We start from the raw sequence: 19,460 nt of genomic DNA, 5'->3' as shown, positions 1-19,460 counted from the left end.
GCTGCCTGCTACCACGTGACTCAGGCCAGATGGCACCTGTCAACATTAGCCGCCACCAGGCCATGACGAACAAACAGCAACCTCACACGCGTCCACACGCGTCACAAGCCGTGTCTGATCTCACGGCGCCCAGCAGCCACCCCACCTGCTGTCCCGTCAGCCCTCTAGGCTCCACACCCCCACACCAAAGCCGTCAGCGCCGCACCCACCTGTGTCCCTAAACTTCCCCCAGAGGGAGGCCCCTCTGTGTTCTTGCTGGAAAGGTGAAGGCCCACGGATATTCTCAGCACCCGCAGGCTGTGGGGGCTTAATAAAGGTTAATCATCATCCCTGTACACCTCAGCAAGTTTTTAAAAATATTCGTTGAGGAGGGGGCAGGAAACTTCTGGCAGCAACTGCAATGTCACCTGCCAGAAGGACTGACTCTGTGAACACCCAAAGCCTGGTTACCAGGTGAAGGGAGAAGCAGGCAGCTGCCAGGAGGGCCTGGCAGAAGCTGGACTTAGGGACGGGGGCTTAAGTGGGAGTAAACCACTGGAAGGGCAGCCAAGGCCTTCCAGGTCAGGCTGTGCAGGTGATCACCCACCCTTGATAGAGAGGAGGGCTGCTCTCAGGGAAGGGTTTTGTTTTGTTTTGTTGAGACAGGGTCTCAGTATGTCACCCAGGCTAGAGTACAGTGGTGTGAACATGTCTCACTACAGCCTCAACTTCCTGGCCTCAAGCTCTCTTCCCACTTCAGCCTCCCGAGTAGCTGGGACTACCGGCATGTGCCAACATGCTCAGCTAATTCTTTAATTTTGTGTAAAGATGGTCTCACTTTGTTTCCCAGGCTGGTCTTGAACTCCTGAGCTCAAGTGATCCTCCAGCCTCAGCCTCCCAAAGTGCTGGGATTATAGGCGTAAGCCACCTCGCTCGGCTTCAGGCAAGGGTCTTGAGGGGGCCCACCCAGGGCCAAGCAGGAGACAGAGACCAGACCCTGTGACAATCTGCAGCATGGGCTTTTTTGGGGGGGTGCTGAGGCGGAGGGCGTGGTGGAGTTTCACTCTGTCGCCCAGGCTGGAGTGCAGTAGCGCGATCTTGGCTCGCTGCAACCTCTGCCTCCCGGGTGCAAGCAATTCTCTGCCTCAGCCTCCTGAGTAGCTGGGACTACAGGTGCCCACCACCACGCCCGGCTAATTTTTGTATTTTTAGTAAAGACAGGGTTTCACCATGTTGACCAGGCTGGTCTTGAACTCCTGACCTCGTGATCCACCCACCTCGGCCTCCCAAAGTGCTGAGATTACAGGCATGAGCCACCGCGCCCGGCCTGCAGTGTGGCCTTGACCAAGTCTCCACCTCTGTCTTGGCCTCCGTTTCCTCTGCTCCAGCATCAGGGCAGCTTCTATTTGTGTGCACTCTGTGCATGTTGGATTTTATCCAGAAGGCAGCTGCTGCTATTAGCTGAAGCTCAGTGTGGTTAAGTGACAACTGGAGGTCACAGAAGGGTTAAGTGACCGACTGATGGCAGGGAGCTGCCTTGGGTTGTGGAGAGCTGGAATCTGAACCCAGGCAGTCGGATTCCAGGGCTCAGGCCTGTGACAGGTACACTCTGCCGACTGCCTGGGCCTGGAGGGGAAAGAGCTCTGGGGCTGATGCTCTCTGGAAGCAAGGGGATGAGGCCACTGAAAATGAAGCCATGGGGTCAGCGCCCCTGGCCTGCTGCTCCTCTGGGCCATCCCCTAGGGGCTAACTGCCTCACATGTCTTCTAAACTCTCATGCTGAGAGACCGGAACTCTCCCACTGTCCCCTGACATCACAGAGCAGAAGAGGGAAGCCACACAGCAAGATGTCCTTTCAATAGGGACTGGCATCCTGAGGAGCCACCAGATAGAAAGTGTCCCCTCTTCCTGTCCTGGGGACACGGAGAATTTCCCAGCACTGACTCTACCCTGGTCTTGGCGCCTACCAGGGGCCAAGGCTGGAATGTAGAGGCCCTTAGGCCACTTGCAGGAGAGCTTAATGAGGTTGGTCAGAGGCTGGGCTCCGTGCAAGGGGAGACCAGGGGGCACATTCAGAGAGGAAAGGTGCATCCTGGGGGCAACGCAGTGGTCCATAAGGGCCACGGCCATGGCAGCTGGGCAAGTAGCGGGTAGCAAAATGGGAGCCAACTGCATGGACTCAGGGAGGCTGGGCGACTGACATCCTGGTAAGGTGGGTGATGCCTAGAAGCCCACATCTGCCATATTCATTCATTCATTCATTCATTCATTCATCTGGTATTTACTGAGCACCTCCATATGTGCCAGGCACTGTCCTGGGCTTTGGACTTTCAGCGTAAACAAGGCATATATGGTCCGTGCCCTTGTTGAGGCTCATAATTGAGAAGGGCTCCTTAGCATGGCCTTCGAGGCGCCCCCAAATCTGACCAACCTGCCTTCTCCGGTGCTGTGCCTCATGAATTCTCCCCCTGCCCTGGCCAAACTGCCGCCTGGTGCAGGACAAGGGAGGTGGAGATGATGGAGCGGGTGTAATCAGGCTCCAGTGTCCCCGGCACCATAACTCCTCCACCCCACATTGAGCCAGATAGAGGAAGGATGGGCAGGAAACATGAGCTGTAAAAGGACACTCGGAGGAGAAGAAATGAAGACGCGAAATAGAGATGAGGGAGGTGCCGCGTGTGTGTGTGTGTGTGTGTGTGTGTGTGTGTGTGTGTGTGTCTGTGCTGAAAGTCTCGGTACATCTGTTTTTGTGTCTGTGTGTCCAGCATGGTGGCTTATGTCTTTAATCTCTGCACCTTGGGAAGCCAAGGTGGGAGGATCGCTTGAGCCTAGGAGTCTGAGACCAGCCTTGGCAACATGGAAAGGCCCCATCTCTACAGCAAATACCAAAAGTTAGTTGGGTGTGATGGTGTGAGCCTGTAGTACCGGATACTCAGGAGGCTGAGATGATAGGGTCACTTGGGCCCGGGAGGTTGAGGCTGCAGAGCGCCATGGTTGCACCACTGCACTCCCACCTGAGCGATGGAGGGAGATCCTGTCTCAAAAACAACCAACCAACCAACCCTGAGACTTGGTAATTTCTAAGAAAAAAGGTTTAATTGGCTCACAGCTCTGCAGGCTGTATAGGAAGTATAGCAACAGCATCTGCTTCTGGGAAGGCCTCAGGAAGCTTCCACTCATGGTGGAAGGTGAAGGGGGAACAGGCATTTCTTTTTTTTTTTTAGATGGAGTCTTACTCTGTTGCTCAGGCTGGAGTGCAGTGGTGTGATCTCGGCTCACTGCAACCTCTGCCTCCCAGGTTCAAGCCACTCTCGTGCCTCAGCCTCTGGAGTAGCTGGGATTACAGGCACGCACCACCACGCCCAGCTAATATTTTGTATTTTCTTTCTTTTTTTTTTTTTTTTTGAGACAGAGTCTTGCTCTGTCGCCCAGGCTGGAGTGCAGTGGCACGATCTCAGCTCACTGCAAGCTCCGCCTCCCAGGTTCACGCCATTCTCCTGCCTCAGCCTCCCGAGTAGCTGGGACTACAGGCACCCGCCACCACGCCCGGCTAATTTTTTTGTATTTTTAGTAGAGACAGGGTTTCACCATGTTGGCCAGGCTGATCTCAAACTCCTGACCTCAAGTGATCCGCCTGCCTCAGCTTCTCAAAGTGCTGGAATTACAAGCGTGAGCCACCGCACCCAGCCGGGAGCAGGCATTTGACACACAGCAGCAGGAGCCAGGGGTGGGGGGTGCCACACAGTTTTTAACAACCAAATCTCAGGAGAATTCACTATAGTGAGGACAGCACCAAGCCATGAGGGATCCACTCCCATGACCCAATCACCTCCCACCAGGCCCCACCTCCAGCACTGAGGATTCCAATGCAACATGCGATTTGGATGGGGACAAATACTCAAACTATATCAGTGGTATAGGCTGGCTGTGTGTGTGTGTGCGTGTCTGAGAGTCTTGGGTGTTTATGTGAAGATCTGGTGCTTGTGCCCATTTGTTTGTGTTTCCGTGTGTGTGGTTGTGTTAGTTTGTCTGTGTGTACTTCCGCTGGCGTTTATGTGCCTAGATGTGTGTGTGCGTGCCTTCAGGGGTCTGTGTGCACATGTGTGTTTGTATTTGCATGTGCTTTTGAGTTGAGTGTGTGTGTGTGTGTGTGCGTGTGTGTGTGTCTTTGGGCAGGGAGAGGCTGGCTGATCCCACACTCGCTCCCTCTCCTCCTTACTATGGCCGTGGCTGGGGCCCAGCCCAGTCCCTTTGGAGACTCACTCCTAATGCTGGGGCATGGACTGGCAGGTCGCCACCCACGGTCTGGGCTGTCACTGGGTCCTGAGTCTGGCTCTGAGACTCTGTGTCTTCTGCTTCCCTCCTCTCATGCTGGGACCAGCTGGAGCCACCCACAGCCCACATGGAGCCCCAGCCGGGCTGTGGACAGCCCCCAGGCCTGCTGCTCAAGGCTGTGCTGGGTACAGCCAGGCTCTGGGGCCAGCAGTGCTGCTCCACAGACCCCCACTAAGGAACACAAGTGGAGGCAAGGGTTCGGAGGACACCCCCTCTGCATGCCCAGACAGGGCGGCAAGGCACGGGGGATATCCCCAACCCAGCGCTGCTCCTGCCTTTCTGCCCTGTGTGACCCCGAGCAGCTCACGCACCCTCCTGGGTTCACACTTCTCATTTATAAGGAGTTGGTGCTAGCAGGGCCACAGCATACAGTTGTAGTGTTGTGCACTGCACAAATGCACCTGGCTGAGGTGACAAAAGGTGCTGAGAGCTGGCCCAGATGCTGTCTTGCAGGCTGGGGGCCTGTGTCAGGCTGCAACATCTGGAGGAAGAGACGCCCTTCTCTTCCCACACAGGATGTTGGCTCATCAGGGCCTGCGCCCACCTGGGACATCCGCCTAAGGGGCAGCTTGTTCTCTTTCTCACAAACAGGTGACCTGCTCTGGTCACCTTGGCTGGGACGGAGACTGGCACCAGCCTTTGTGATCAAGCGCCCCCCACCCCCGTGTTGGTGTCCAGGTGGCCATGCATCCAAGACTCTCCTCTGTCCCCTTGCCCTGCGTCTGCTTCCCTCCCCTTCTCTGGACCACCTGCCCCTCCCCTGGGGTTCTTCCACCCACACTTGACCAAGCACTTTCCCAAGCAGCACAGGCCATAGAGGACCCCTTTACAGGACAAGAAACTGAGCGTGGAGAATGAAGTGCCTATCCATCGTGTCATGGTTCCTCAGAGGTTCCAGCCGAGCCCTTCCGACTCCAAATCTGGCCCTAGCTCCTCCACCCCTGCACCCACCGCCCCAGCTCACCCCTCCTTTTTCCAGCCACCCTGATAGTGATGTCACACTTCTCTGCTTCAATGCTCTTTATTTCATTAGGAAAGTAGCTGGGCAGGGGTGTTCCCCTGGGGGATGGAGTGGGGGTACAGACAGTAGCCTGGCTCCTGTCCCCTAGGATTGACAAACCTGTAGAGGAGAAGCAGAGGCGAGGCCTGAGCAAGGGGCTCTGGGGTGGTTCTGTGTGCTTGCCTGGCAGAGAAGGGGTTCTGAGAGGCCCCCTGATCTGTCACCCCCCACTTGGAAGGGGGGTCCCCAGGCAGGACTTGCTTAACCCAGGGCTTGAGAGGCAGGGCTGGCCCATAACGGTTGCCCACACAACCAGAGCAGCTGAGTGTGGGGATCCCCAGCCCCTTACCAAGGGCTCAGGGCTCAGCTGTGTGCCACGCAGCGGCTGCTGTGAGGTGTGTTCTGGTAGAAGGGGTCAGCTGAGGTCAGGGTTCTGCAGGGAGGCAAGAGGAGAGTGTTGGGGGTGTTGGCAGGCAGGGCATGGACCTTGTCTTCTTGTCTTCTGCCTGACCCTCCCTGAGAGAGCATAGCCAGGGTTCAGCCAGGGCAGCCAAGCCACAAACATTCTTTGCCTGCCAACTCTGGGCCATTGTTGATATAAATGTAATTTCTGAGGAATTGAATTGAGCAGAAAGGAGCTGAGTGAGGCCGAACCACAGTCCATTCATCTCTGGATCCGTCCCCGCATCCCCCTCTGGATCTGAACCACCCCAGAGCCCCTTGCTCAGATCCTCCCCATCCAGTCCACCGGGCCTGGGGAACAGGGGCAGGAGAGGGAGGAGGAGCCATCTGAGGGAGGGGTCACTGGAAGGAGAGGAGGGGAGGAGCCTGTGCTAGCAGGAGAAGGGACACCAGAGCCAGCCAGAGGAGATGGGCCTCTCATAGGAATGAACCGGACTGACAGCAAGAGAGGAGAGGAAGGGAAAGGCCTGGCACACGGCCTGGATGAGGGGTAGGGAGAAAGAACAGAGCTGGGGGTGGTGCCACCTTCCCACGTGGGGATGCAGGTGCCGCAGGCTCTCCATGGGGTTGGGGGTGGCCTCCATGCAGCTGACCGGCTGGCTGAGGGCGTAGCCTCCTGGCATCTGGGGCTGGATGCCACCTCGAGTCCAGCCTTCCTGGTCTAGACCCTTGGGGATGTTCTCAAAGTACCTGGAGGAGAGGAGGGGTCCTTGGCTGGAAGCTGGACTCTGCCCACCTCTGCAACCCCTGCTGCCCTTCTCCATCGACCCTCAGATCGCCCAGCCTCCCCACCTTTGCTCATGCTGTCCTCGTCTAGCTCTCCCTAAGCCCACGTCCACTGGGGGAACTCTTACTCAAAAAGCCTGCCCTCCCCTCCACCTGACGCTGAAACACTCTTTGGAGTGTTAAAGGACAGTTTCAGTGATGCCCCTGTCCCTGGCCTGCCAGTACCTTGGGGTGGGGACCCCGTCTCATCCACTTCTCTAGGCACTTAACTTTCCTTCCATTTCATTTCCATTTCCTTCCATTTCACTGAGCACAGCCAGGTCCAGAGGGTGCAAAGACAAGTAAGAAGGGGGTCCCACCCTTGAACTTATGAAGAGGGGGTGCAGACAGATCAATGCAGGAATCAGTGATGACAATCCCGGGGCTCTGCGCGCACCAGGAAGCACCAGCAAGCGTGCCTGACAGCCAGCAGGAGCTCAGGACACAACAGGACACGACAGGCTGGAAGGACCCAGCAGACAGGACTGGAGCTGGTCTCTGCCAGAGCCACAGGAGGAGGTGTTTGCCTAAGAAGGGGTCAGAACATCGTTGCCCCTCCCCCACCTCCGTGGGAACTGGAGCGGCCACTGTGCTGAGTCTGCTGTGCGGGCGGAAGCTCTGCTCCTCCCCTCTGAGCCTCAGGGTTTAGGCCAGAGGACAACAAACGGCCCTTCCAGCTCAGACTCTCTGTTGCTCCTCCAGGACACCGCCCTCCCCTCTTTTCAGTCTCAGTTCAAACGTCACCTGCTCAAGGCCACCGATTTCAAATCCGACCCGTGCGCACTGCAGCCCTCGCGATCCCTTTCTCTTTGCGCATTACCTAACAGCTCTCGCTAACTGGCTGCAGCCACATGCATGTCTCCTCCCATGCAGAGGTCTGAGCTCCGTAGGGCAGGAGCTGCACACACATTCCCAGGGCCTGGAGCAGGGCTTGGCACCCAGTCAGGGCTCAGTTAAAGTCTATTCCATGAATGGATTCTGGGAGGTATCCCGGAGCAGGGGGTGGGGCAGGGGGAGGAGACAGAGAGGTGGCAGGGACACCTTGAAGGACCAGGAGTTGGAGAGGAAGCAGGGTGGACACAGGTGACTGATGTTGTGAGGAAAGCTTGCGCTTCCTGGCTCGGAGTTTGTCCTAAGAATTATACTTCCTGGAGGCGGGCAGATCACGAGGTCAGGAGATCAAGACCATCCTGGCTAACACAGTGAAACCCTGTCTCTACTAAAAATACAAAAATGTAGCCGGGCGTGGTGGCAGGCGCCTGTAGTCCCAGCTACTCGGGAGGCTGAGGCAGGAGAATGGCGTGAACCCGGGAGGCGGGGTTTGCAGTGAGCCGAGATCGCACCACTGCACTCCAGCCTGGACGACAGAGAGAGACTCCATCTTAAAAAAAAAAAAAAAAAAAAAGGAATTGTACTTCTTGGCAGGACACGGTGGCTCATGCCTGTTATCCCAGCACTTTGGGAGGCCAAAGCAGGCAGATCACTTGAGGTCAGGAGTTCAAGACCAGCCGGGCCAACATGGCGAAACCCCATCTCTACTAAAAATACAAAAATTAGCTGGGCATGGTGGCACATGCCTGTAATCCCAGCTATTTAGGAGGGTGAGACAGGAGGATCACTTGAACCCATGAGGCGAAGGTTGCGGTGAGCTGAGATCACGCCATTGCACTCCAGCCTGGGCGACAGAGTGAAACTCCATCTCAAAAAAAAAAAAAAAAGAAGAAGAAGAATTACACTTCCTTTATACCACTCCTATAATGCTTTCCCCACCCAGTCCTGGCCCCAGGAGGCTTCCCCATGGCTCTGGGGCCACCTCCTTCCTGGAAGCCCTCCCTGATGCCCAGGACAGTCACTCCTAACCCAGGGAATGCACAGCACAGAATTTACCTTCTGAGGGAGCATCGAGCCCACCAACCATTGGCTGGATGGAATGTCTTAGCAGATGCTGCTGCTCCAGACTCCCTCGCACTGCCCTGTTCTTTCCATGCCCACCAGCCTGGCCACCAATGCCCTGCATCTCTGTGGGAAAGCTACCCTTGGGATGCTAGAAGCTGCTTTGCCTGAGCAAGGAGGCACCTGGGCTTTAATGTTGCCCTGGGGATAGCCTTTAACCAATGACCGATGGATGTGGGGGTATAAATACCCCAGCTCTCTCACCTTTGACTGGGGTAGTTCTGAGTTGTGTGCTTTACACTGTTTTCTAGAGTTTTCCCAGTGGGATAGCTGGCCTAGTAACATGCTCATTATTGCTGCCTTCCCTCCCTCATCCCTCTTCTCCACTCCCACACGCCTAATAACTGCCTGATAACATGCTTGCACTCCAATCCTTGGCTTAGGGTATGCTTCTGGGGAACCCATATTCACTCAGCATTGATCTTCTCCACGAGGCTGTGAGCTCATTACTTATCCCAGTCTCAGTCTGTTTCTCAAATGGGTTTCAGCTTTGGACCAGGAAGCGGACCTCACCCTTGGTTGTAGGTGGTCAGGTATCGCTGATCCCTGTCAGGATCACAGGGGCTCCGGACATACATGGGGTTGTTAAGGCTGAACCCTGTGGGCTCCTGCACAAGAGGGGTAGACAGGGGAATTGTCAAGTCAGAAGGGGTGGGGATTTGGGGGTGGAGGCTAGGTGTAGCAAGTCTCACCTTTTTCCCCACAGTCTCCCGGCCAAGCAGGGCAACGTTTGTCTGTTGCATCCGATGAAGTGGCTGAAACTGCTGGTGACTCACGCTGCTGGGTTCTGGGCAGGGAGGGGGCACCTGCAGGGCACAGAACCACCAGAAGGGAGGCTGAGGTGGCCAGCCTGAGGCAGCAGGGATGGAGAGGGGAGCAGGCAGAGGCACACACAGCTGTGACCTGTCCACAGCCCCAGCGACCCTCCCTTCCCCTTCCAGCCAATTCTATTTCAGACCACACCCCTCATCTTCCAGCCCCCAGGAAGGCCCAGGCTCTCTTCACCCTCCACCTGAGGGCCTACCTCCACATCCCTAAATATCCTAATTCTTCTCATTCTTCAATGCCTGACCCAAATGCCACCTCTTCCCAGAAACCTCCCTGTCTTCTCCCTTCTCTGAGCAAGACGCCAAGGCCACTCACTCTGGGGTTCAGAATCCTTTCATTCCCTCGGCTGAAGGCTGTTTCCCGCTTGGAGCCTCTGGCCAACACAGGTAGGAACTCATCTCCCTGGAGGGAGCAAAGCAGCCACTGGCACCAGGATGTGGCTGCCTCCCCCACCACCTTCCAGAGCCATGTTCTAACTGCTCCCCGCCAGGCGGTCCCCAGCCTCCCCCTAGCTCAGCTTACATGTAGGTGAGTCTTGGGGAGGAAGTCTGACTTGGTGACACTCTGGCCTGGGAGGAGGGCCTGGAAATAGGCCCACAGAGGATGTCAGCCCCGCAGAGGCAGCCTGGGCCCCTGGTGGCTCCCACCCACTCTGCCTCCAGGCCACTGCTGTGCTGAGCACAGAGGAGGACTCAGCTCAAATGGGCATCACTGAGAAAAGGGAAGTGTTTGGGGAGAAGACAGGGGAAGGCATGACTCTGAATGGGACCAGCAGGCCAGGGCTCTTGTCTGAACTCTGAATGACATTGGCTACACCTCCTTCATCTCTTTGGACCTCAGTCTTCTCATCTATAAATGGGGGACTTGGACCAAAGCAGTGGTTTTCACCTAAGCTCTTTCGTCTTGTGTTTGAACAAAGGGCTCTGCAGCTCACATTCTTTAGGAAAGCTAGAAACCCTGAGACTGGAGGGCTTCAAGCCCCCTAAAGTTCTAGCAGGAGCCCAGCCGACTTACAGGGTCCCCAGGGAGGGCCTGTGAGGGCGGTTGGAAGACAATGGGGCTCTGGTGGGACTGTTTGGTGAAGCCACTCCCCTCCTTTGCGCCGATCGATTTCTTCTGCAAGAAATCTGCAAAAGAAATGCCCTGTGTGCTGCCAGGCCACCTGGCCCACCCATGTGTCCTCCAGAGGCTCAGTGTCCCAGCAGGTGCAGAGGGAGTGGATCCCAAGATCCTGGAGACCTGCGCCATGAGGATCGTGGGTGGCAGGGTGAGGATTCCAGAGTCCAGGCCGGAGGACAGGAGAGGGAGCAGCAGGAAGGGCATGCACCGGCCAAGCCACCCTCCTGAGAGGCCCAAGGTACTGAGGTCAGCCCGGGAGAGGCGCTTCCCTCCAGCCACCTGTGCATCCTTCTTTCTTCCACTGGTGCCTTCTCAGTCCTAGGCCAGCTCCAGGGCCCCTGGGGTAGCAAGTAGGGAGGTGGATTGGAAGATGGGAAGGGAGCTGTGAGTTCAGACAGGGCCTACCTGGCTGGTCTAGAGGGTCCCTGAGATACTTGGAATTGTACTCCGACGTCATGAAGCGTGGGCCCTGGAACAGAGAGGTTGGAGGAGTGGGGGCACTGACCCACCAGGGCCCCGAAGGCGTGTGGCGGCGGTGGAGTGGCGCCTCGGTTCTCTGTGCTCTGAGGAAGCCTGTGTGGGCCAGTACAGCACCCTGGACACAAGTCTCTGTGGGGTGGGACATCGCAGGGCCAGGAATTTCAGCACAAAGCACAGTTCCCCTGTGACTATGAATACCACGTCACACCCCACACCAGACTCCTGGTAATGAGTGGGGGGCCCAGAGGGACCGAGACCAGGAGGGGCCGTGAGCAGGAGGAGGAAGGCTGGGGGAAGAGGAGTAGCGTTAAATCGCGAGAAGCCACATTGAGGCTATTTTGGAAATAGCCAATATCAAATCCTTTGCTCTCCCATCTTTCTTGGCGCCCTGAGCCCACCCTGAGCTGGCTTCTTGGGTGAGTCAGTGCAATACTTGTCTTGAGGTGGGAGGAAGAGGCGGGTGTGGCCCCTCTGCCCCACCCCGAAGCCCTTAGCTGGGCTGCCACTCACATGTCGGAAGTTCTCCCGCTCCAGCGGGTCCTGGCCCTGCTGCTGGTGGAGCAGAGGCACTTCCCTGGGCTCCAGCCCCGTGATGGCCTGAGGCCCGTGCTCCTGGGTGTCGAAATGGACCTTCCGGACCTGGGAGGAAGAAGGGCCAATTACAAGTGAGGGGGCGGCAGTCACTCCCTGACTCTGCTTCTGCCCTTGACCTTTACAGAGCGCAGTATCTGCAGAGCAGCCAGAGGGGGTCCTTTTACAATGAAACCTGCATGTCCCCTCTCTGCTTAGAGCCCTGCAGCCTTCCCATCACACTCGCAGGGAATTCCACGTCCTCCTGGTGGCCTGCAAGGACCTGAGTGCCTCACCCTGCTCTAGCTGCTTGTCTCCTTTCTGTTCCCACCTTGAGGCCTTTGCACTTGCTGTTGGCACTGCCTGGACCACTCCTCCCTCAGACAGCTGCAACTGGAGGAGCTGGCCTCCCTCAAGTTTTTGTCCAGTGTCTCCATAGCAAGCTCTTTCCCGACCCTCCCGATTTGCAGTTGCAACTCCTTCGCTTCTAATTTATTTATTACTTACATTTTTTGAGACAGAGTCTCGCTCTGTTGCCCAGGCTGGAGTGCAGTGGCATGATCTCAGCTTCCTGCAAACTCCACCTCCTGAGTTCAATCAATTCTTGTGCCTCAGCCTCCCAAGTAGCTGGGACTACAGATGCAAGCCACCACACCTGGCTATTTTTTTTTTGTATTTTTTTGGTAGAGATGGGGTTTCACCATGATGGCCAGGCTGACCCAACAGCAGTTGGCCTCAAGTGATCCACCTGACTCAGCCTCCCAAAGTGCTGGGATTACAGGTGTGAGCCACCACGCCTGGCTTTATTTTTTTTTAGTCCAAGTCTCATTCTATTGCCCAGGCAATCTCAGCCTCACTGCAACCTCCGCCTCCCGAGTTCAAGCAATTCTCCTGCCTCAGCCTTCTGAGTAGCTGGGATTATAGGTGCGTGCCACCATGCCCAGCTAGTTTTTGTATTTTTAGTAGAGATGGAGTTTCACCATGTTGGCCAGACTGGTCTCAAACTCCTGACCTCAAGTGATCTGCCTGCTTCAGCTTCCCAAAGTGCTGGGATTACAGGTGTGAGCCATCGCACCTGGCCTCCAACTCCTTCACTTCTCTTCCTCCCTGCTTCTCCCTGTTGTATTTCCTAACCCCCGCCCCACCCCGCACTCCACCCGCTCTTATCATCTTCAAATATGAAGGAGATATTCAGAACATTCTCGCTGGATGAATGAATGAGTGTCCATTTTGGTGGTGGTGCTGATGATAAGAAGGGTGGTAATAATGAGGATAGAAATGAAAAAGATGGGGCTGGGCGCAGTGGCTCACGCCTGTAATCCCAGCACTTTGGGAGGCTGAGGCGGGCAGATCACGAGGTCAGGAGATTGAGACTATCCTGGCTAACACGGTGAAACCCTGTCTGTACTAAAAATACAAAATATTAGCCGGGTGTGGTGGCACATGCCTGTAATCCCAGCTACTGGGGAGGCTGAGGCAGGAGAATCGCTTGAACCCAGGAGGTGGAGGTTGCAGTGAGCCGAGATCGTGCCACTGCACTCCAGCCTGGGCAACAGAGTGAGACTCCATCTCAAAAAAAAAAAAAAAAAAAAGAAAAAGAAATGAAAAAGATGGGGTGAGGATGTCCATGGTGGGGGGACAGTGGTGGTAGTAGGGACAGTGATGGGGCTTGCAGGTGTGGACGGGAGTGTGAGGCTCATGGGAATGGGGACAGGGATGGGGATGGAAATGGAGGTGGAGGTAATGGTGGGGCTGGGGCAGGGAATAGAGGTGGTGGGGATGGTGGGGACAAGGATGAGGACAAAGGGGAGAAAGATGAGTGGACCCCATCCCTACAAGGTGGCTGCTCCATGCCCTGTCACCTCCACCTTGACCAACTGTTGGCAGTGCAGCCCTAGCCCCACCCCACCCTGAGGCTTCCCTCTCCTGGCCCTGGCCCAGCACTGACCTCCTTGGTGGGGGGACCCGCACTGGGCTTCTCCCGCCCATAGCCTGAGCTGGTCTGGCGCATGCTCCAGGGCAGGGGATGCTTGCCGTCAGGCACCTCCAGGGGGCGGTAGCTCTGGCTGGCCACAGACTGGAAATGGTCCTGGGCTTGTTCCCTGAGGGTGAGGAGGAGCTAGAACCCCAGGCCGCCTGCCTCTGTCCTCTGCTAAGGAGCTTCCCTCCTCCCTGCACCCTCCCACAGATGGCTCAGAGGTCCGCTGTGCCCTGAGTCACCCAGGACCCCCAGCCTAGGGCAGGCAAAGCTCAGGGTCCCCATCCAAGGAACCTGGAGTTGGTCTGATGAGCAGGGCAGGGGCTGGGAAGGGGCCATACAGACCGTACCCCCTGGCCGGGTTGTCTAAGGCCTCCAGACTGGCTTGGCATGAGACCACGGGCTGGAAATTTGATTTGTAGCCGGTGCCTACGTGACTGCCCACACGGGGCTTGAAATCCTCCCGACCTGCCAGAGGGGTAACGGGGAGACAGACCCCAAGGTCAAAAACAGGCAGGGCTTCCCAGGCAGGGCCAGCGTCCTCCGAGGGGCACAGGGGTCACAGTGACAGGGGAGGGCTCAGAGCCACGGGCAGGAGCTTTGCAAGCCTGCCCTTTCAGGACTGTGATGGCAGGAAATGGAGTGGGTGGGCTGGGGACAAGGTCAGTGTGGCAGAATCACAGTGACAGAATTGCAGGGACAGAACCAGAGAAGGGAGCAGCCGGGCAGGGCCCAGGGGACAAACGGATTCAGCAGTTGCTCTGCAGTGTGACAGCCAGAGGGTCTGCTCCTCCCTCAGAGAGAGCCCCTCCCTTCCTGCCCATGTCCTAGCAGAGGCTCCTGCGCAAAGGCACCCTCACCGTAGGCGGTGCAGTAGCTGGTGGCGTAGAATTTCAGGGGGTCCGTGTAGCCCCCCGAACTCATCTTCACATAAGGGGAGACGACCCCCAGGGGGAGTTTCCCCATCATGATGCTGTGGGGCAGGGCCCCAGGGGGCCTAGAAAGGAAGCACGGGGAGCCTCATGGGTCCCAAGCCTGGCTCGGAAGCCCACAGGGGCGAAGATCTGCCCCCCACCACCCACAACGCAGCTGGCCCCTTCTCCCAGGCCTCTGTCTCTCTGCCCCAGCTCCCAAGTCCCTAAACTAAGGACGAAACCGATCATCCACACTTATCCCAAGAGTCCTCATGTCTCCTCTCACTTTCCCACACCTTCTTATTAACTCTTCCTGTCCCCATTTACCACTGGGACAGTGAGGTTCCAAGTGATAAAGGATTTGCTCCATAATAGGTGGTAGTGCTGGGATTCAGACCTAGGTGTTTGACTACTCGGCCCCTGACCTGAACCTTACATACCCACCTCTCGGAATGAATGAGCCGACAACCCACTACCTGGGGAATTCTTGGCCCCCACCCAAGAAGTCAGGCCGAGGCGCTCACTCCCAGCCCCCGGCTCCTCTCTCTCCCTCATCTCCATGGCCTTGCCCGCCTCTGGCCTTGCCTGCCTCCCCTGGGAATTGGCTGCACTCTCCCCGAGGCCCAACCACAGCGGCCCCACCCTCACCTTTCCTCTGCAGAGGCTCTGAGGTCGGGGAGAGGCTGCAGGAAGCAGAGCTCTGCAGAGAAGCCAGCCCTCCTGGAGGAGGCCAAGCAGGAGAAACAATGTGTAGCCTAGCAACTGGTGCCTAGCAACAGCGTCCCCAGGCTTCTGAGACCTTCTAGGGCCAGGGCCCACTGAGGGGCTGACCTGGCCAGGAGGGGAGGGTCAGAAGCTGCCCGAGCAAGGCCCTGCTTCCAGGGCTCCGGCCCCAACCTCCGGCCTCCTCCACAGGGCTGGGAAGAGTTGCTGTCTGCGTGACATAAAATAAAAGATAATCCCGAACACTCACTCCCATAAAGTACCCACTTCTCGGCAGATACTTTACATCCTCTATCTCCATCCTCTGAGCAGCTCTTCAGTAGCTATGATTATCCCCATTTTCACTGGGGGAACATGAGGCTTAGATAAGCAAAATGACTTGACTCCAGAGATCTCGCAATCAGAAAATAGCCAAGTTGAGATTCAAACGTGGGTGGATGTGGATCCCGCTCTTCTGCCTCTCGGTAAATCAACATTTACTATGTTCCTCTGGAGCTGAATCTGTGCTAAGCCCTTTAACACACATTACGTCGTGTAATCCCCCAAACCACCCTGTGAACTGGGCACTATTATTGTAGGGCCAATAAACCGCAGCAGTTAAGAGTGTGGTTCAAATCTGATCTGTCACCTTTGATGAGGTACTTATCCTCTTCACGCCCCCAAATCCCCATCTTCGCAAGGGACGTGACTGCACCCACCTCACAGGGCTGCTGGCAGATTTAGCAAGAGCATGGATTCAGCACCTGACAGGTAGTAAATGCTCTTTTTTTTTTTTAAGAGAGACAGGATCTTATGCTCTCACCTGGGTTGGAGTACAGAGGTACCATCATAGCTCAGTCCAGCCTCCAACTCCTAAGTTCAAGCAATCCTCTTGCCTCAGACTCTCAAGTAGCCAGAACTACAGGTGTGCTCCCCCCTGCCTGACTTGCTTATTTATGTATTTATTTGTTGTAGAGACAGCGTCTTGCTATGTTGCTCAGGCTGGTCTTGAACTCCTGGCCTCAAGTGATCCTCCTGCCTCAGCCTCCTGAGTTGCTGGGATTGCAGGGGCAAGCCACCACACTCGGCAAATGCTCAATTTGCAAAAGCTGCTGTACTTTTAGTCTTATTTTGCAGATAGGAAAGGCGAGGCTCAAGGGGAAATAGCCCAGGCCCCACAGTGGGTGGAGACGGAGCCTGGACTCAAATCTGAGTGCGCAAACTCCACAGTGAGAATCTTCTTCCATGACAGCCTTTTTGCCTCAAATTGGCTTTCAGGCTTGTAAATGTTGTAACAGTTAGATCTCTGGGTGGGGTGGGATAGCCCTACTTTGCAGCATTTGCCAATTTCTGTGATGTCAGTGGTCCCATCAGGGCTGCTTTCAAACCACCACTACAGTGTCTTTGAACCGGGACATGGGAAGGTCGCTCACCACTGTACGGGAGTAGTCCCATCATGCAGACATAATGGGCGTAAGTAACCTCGACAGCACAAATAATAGAAAAATGTACTCACATAATTAAGGGGTGATGAGTTTTAGGTATTTTTTTTTGTTTTTAATATAATTCATTAAATTGCAGGTTTAAGTTATTTATTTATTTATTTATTTATTTATTTATTTATTTATTTATTTGAGATGGAGTCTTGCTCTGTCCCCCAGGCTGGAGTGCAGTGGCACGATCTCAGCTCACTGCAACCTCCATCTCCTGGTTCAAGCAATTCTCCTGCCTCAGCCTCCTGAGTAGCTGGGATTACAGGTGCACGCCACCACGCCCAGCTAATTTTTGTATTTTTAGTAGAGATGGGGTTTCACTATGTTGGCCAGGTTGGTCTCGACCTCCTGAGCTCAAGTGATCTGCCTGCCTCAGCCTCCCAAAGTGCTGGGATTACAGGCGTCAGCCACCGCGCTCGGCCAGTAATTTAATTTTTAACAATGGCAGAGTTAAAAACCAGCTTGCCAATTTCCTGGAAGTTTCGCCTTCAGCTCTCCTGAGCCGGTAGAGCTGGCTTCAGAGCACCCCTGCTCTCAGGGGAGAGTGAGGTATGAATGAAGGCTGAATAAAGGGAAAGGAGGCATCTCCTTTCCTCACCCAGGAGATGCCCTTGCCGCATTCATCCTGTAGTGACCTGGCCTGCCAGGGTGGAGGCTCACTCGTGTCCTCACCCAGCCCCCCATGGGAAGGCAAGCTGAAGCACGTTTGGCACCCACCCTCCGGACTAACGATTCTGTTCAGGGATCACAGGGCACAAGGACACAGGAGTGAGTGCACACAGCCCTGCCCTCCAGCAAAGTGCTCCCATTCTACTACAGAGGCTCGTGGGAGTTCCACACACGAAGCACAAAGGGTGAGACCACCATAGGTGAGGTGCTCACAGGGTGAAGGGAGAGAGGGGCCCTCCTCTAAGTGTGCCTGGATAAGTGGCTACGAGCAAGAGCTTGGACTCTGAAGCCAGATGGTGTGGGTCCTGTCTCTGCCACTAGATAACCGTAAGACAGTGCATGTTCCTTGTGCCTCAGTTTCCCCTTCTGGAGAATGAGTATAATAATGGTAACTACCTGCAGGGTTGTGGTACGCACGAAGCATTTAGCCCAGTACCTGGCACACGGTAGGTGCCATCTAAGAGCTAGGGAAAGAGGTTCCTTTTGAGTACTCACTGCCTGCTAGGCAAAGGGTTGGGCCTAAGGGTTACAAACAGGAAATCCACATGGCCCTGGCCTCAGAGAGCCCACGGTTTAGGAAGGATCTCAGATGTAGCAAAAGAAAGCTCACTGTGGGAGCCCGAGTTCAAAACCTGCTTCTGCTGTGTGTGACTCGGGGCTTCCTCTCTTTGAGCCTGTTTCTGTACCTGCAGGCAGGGATAACTGTGCCTACCTAGCAGGGTCGCTGGTGGATTTGAAATACCCTATGCACAAGAGGTAACAGGCCTGCACCAGGCAGAGATAAGGAAGGGCCCTCTACGTGGAAAGCCCGACAAACACAAAGGCGGAGACAGGTGTCCAGCAGGCTGGGAGCCCTGACTAGTGCAGCGTGGCTGGAGCACTGCGTGGGGAGGAGAGGCTCAGCTGGGAGAAGCAGCCCCCAGGTAGGCTGTAGCCAGGTTTTCCTTTTAGCAGGTGGAGGGGGCAAGGAGGGGTGGTAGAAAGGTTTGAAATCATCCCTTAGGGCTTCTCTTAGGGAGGCTCTAGGCTGTAGCCGACCAAGGACCTGGGCAGGAGTTCAAGGGTCGGGGATCAGGGTCTGGCCGGCGCTGTCCCATCAGAGCCCCCATTAGGTCCCGTCCTCCCGGCGGCCCGTGGGTTTTTTGCTGTGTGGCGACACCCAGCGGCCATAACTCGGAACTGCAGGAGATGCCGCAGATGAATCCCTAAGACCGGGGTCGGGGGGTCCTAGGAGTTGGGGACAGAGCAGCTCCGTCGACCTGGCCACAGCCCCACCCCAAGCCTCACTCACCCATCCCTCCAGAACAGGAGGGTTGCGTCTGGGCAAGGAGTGTTCCGGGAGGGCAAGCGCTGGAGCCCACAAGGAGCGGGAGCCCAGGTGCCAGGTGACCCAAGAGCAGCGTGACTTTTGGACCTGTCACCTGTGGACCTCAGTCCTTCTATCTACAAAATGAAGGAACAGACTAAAAGTCCTTCCATACTGGAAAATCTAGGCCCACCTCATCCCACTCCCTTCCCATATCTGTCCCCATTTATTCAGCACTTTATTGTGCCAGAGCTGAGCTACGAATCACCTCATCATCGCTTTTCACTCCCGGCTCTACGTGGGAACTACTATAATCCTGCCCATGTTACATGTGAGGAAACTGCCTGAGGCCTCGCAGACAGGGAGGAGTGGAGCTGGGATCCAAACTCAGCTTTGACCCTGGAATCTATGCCCCGCCCTCTGGAACACACCAGCAAATTCTCCAGAAAGCGCCGGGACCTTAGCACTGGGCTTTTCCAAAGGGATGATTTTCCAAAGGGATGGGCTGCCCTGGCCAGATGGGCAACTGCCTCCTACTTTCTAGCTCTGCCCAGTCCTGGGCAGTAAGATTCCCGTTTCCAGCCGGGCACAGTGGCTCATGCCTGTAATCCCAGCACTTTGGGAGGCCAAAGCAGGCAGATCACCTGAAGTCAGGAGTTCGAGATCAGCCTGGCCAACATGGCAAAACCCCGTCTCTACTAAAAATACAAAAATTAGCAAGGCATGGTGGTGGGCGCCTGTAATCCCAGCTACTCGGGAGGCTGAGGCAGGGAGAACTCCTTGAATGCAGGAGTAAGAGGTTGCAGTGAGCCGAGATTACACCACTGCACTCCAGCCTGGGCGACAGAGCAAGACTCCATCTCAGAAAAAAAAAAAAAAGATTCCCCTGTTTCCCTCCCATACGAAG

The 19,460-nt window shown here is 55.9% G+C and overlaps 1 protein-coding gene across 2 annotated transcripts, besides 5 other annotated features; it reads right to left on the bottom strand.

Annotated features, from left to right (window-relative positions):
• Positions 1,285–1,883: an enhancer, noted in NCBI's record as "H3K4me1 hESC enhancer chr11:61261837-61262435 (GRCh37/hg19 assembly coordinates)". NCBI's record gives its function as "activates a minimal SCP1, AML or CMV promoter by ChIP-STARR-seq in primed H9 embryonic stem cells {active_cell/tissue: H9 hESC(primed)}" and the evidence as "EXISTENCE:reporter gene assay evidence [ECO:0000049][PMID:30033119]".
• SAXO4 (stabilizer of axonemal microtubules 4) lies at positions 5,320–15,128 on the bottom strand. Of its 2 annotated transcripts, NM_145017.3 has the most exons (14): positions 15,032–15,128; positions 14,330–14,466; positions 13,820–13,937; positions 13,440–13,593; positions 11,432–11,560; positions 10,847–10,910; positions 10,337–10,449; positions 9,845–9,904; positions 9,638–9,724; positions 9,187–9,300; positions 9,008–9,102; positions 6,302–6,466; positions 5,664–5,747; positions 5,320–5,434 (listed from the first exon to the last, which is right to left on the bottom strand). In NM_145017.3, exons 2-13 carry the CDS (start codon positions 14,436–14,438, stop codon positions 5,678–5,680), a joined length of 1,278 nt encoding a protein of 425 aa, NP_659454.2. In that variant the 5' UTR covers positions 14,439–14,466; positions 15,032–15,128; the 3' UTR covers positions 5,320–5,434; positions 5,664–5,677. The 2 variants fall into 2 exon arrangements, with proteins under 2 accessions (NP_659454.2, NP_001164224.1); NM_001170753.2 differs by lacking the exon at positions 9,845–9,904.
• Positions 6,568–7,234: an enhancer, noted in NCBI's record as "H3K27ac-H3K4me1 hESC enhancer chr11:61256486-61257152 (GRCh37/hg19 assembly coordinates)". NCBI's record gives its function as "activates a minimal SCP1, AML or CMV promoter by ChIP-STARR-seq in naive and primed H9 embryonic stem cells {active_cell/tissue: H9 hESC(naive and primed)}" and the evidence as "EXISTENCE:reporter gene assay evidence [ECO:0000049][PMID:30033119]".
• Positions 7,235–7,902: an enhancer, noted in NCBI's record as "H3K27ac-H3K4me1 hESC enhancer chr11:61255818-61256485 (GRCh37/hg19 assembly coordinates)". NCBI's record gives its function as "activates a minimal SCP1, AML or CMV promoter by ChIP-STARR-seq in naive H9 embryonic stem cells {active_cell/tissue: H9 hESC(naive)}" and the evidence as "EXISTENCE:reporter gene assay evidence [ECO:0000049][PMID:30033119]".
• Positions 9,326–10,145: an enhancer, noted in NCBI's record as "H3K27ac-H3K4me1 hESC enhancer chr11:61253575-61254394 (GRCh37/hg19 assembly coordinates)". NCBI's record gives its function as "activates a minimal SCP1, AML or CMV promoter by ChIP-STARR-seq in primed H9 embryonic stem cells {active_cell/tissue: H9 hESC(primed)}" and the evidence as "EXISTENCE:reporter gene assay evidence [ECO:0000049][PMID:30033119]".
• Positions 13,397–13,691: an enhancer, noted in NCBI's record as "tiled region #8840; HepG2 Activating DNase unmatched - State 12:CtcfO, and K562 Activating DNase unmatched - State 12:CtcfO". NCBI's record gives its function as "activates a minimal TATA promoter and a strong SV40 promoter by Sharpr-MPRA in HepG2 and K562 cells {active_cell/tissue: HepG2 | K562}" and the evidence as "EXISTENCE:reporter gene assay evidence [ECO:0000049][PMID:27701403]".
• Positions 15,129–19,460: the final 4,332 nt, after the last annotated feature.

The sequence above is a fragment of the Homo sapiens genome, chromosome 11 (genome assembly GCF_000001405.40).
Source record: "Homo sapiens chromosome 11, GRCh38.p14 Primary Assembly".
In the NCBI taxonomy this organism is placed as follows: domain Eukaryota; kingdom Metazoa; phylum Chordata; class Mammalia; order Primates; family Hominidae; genus Homo; species Homo sapiens.
The sequence above is the reverse complement of the archived record's forward strand: the minus strand, read 5'-3'. Positions and strand labels throughout refer to the sequence as shown.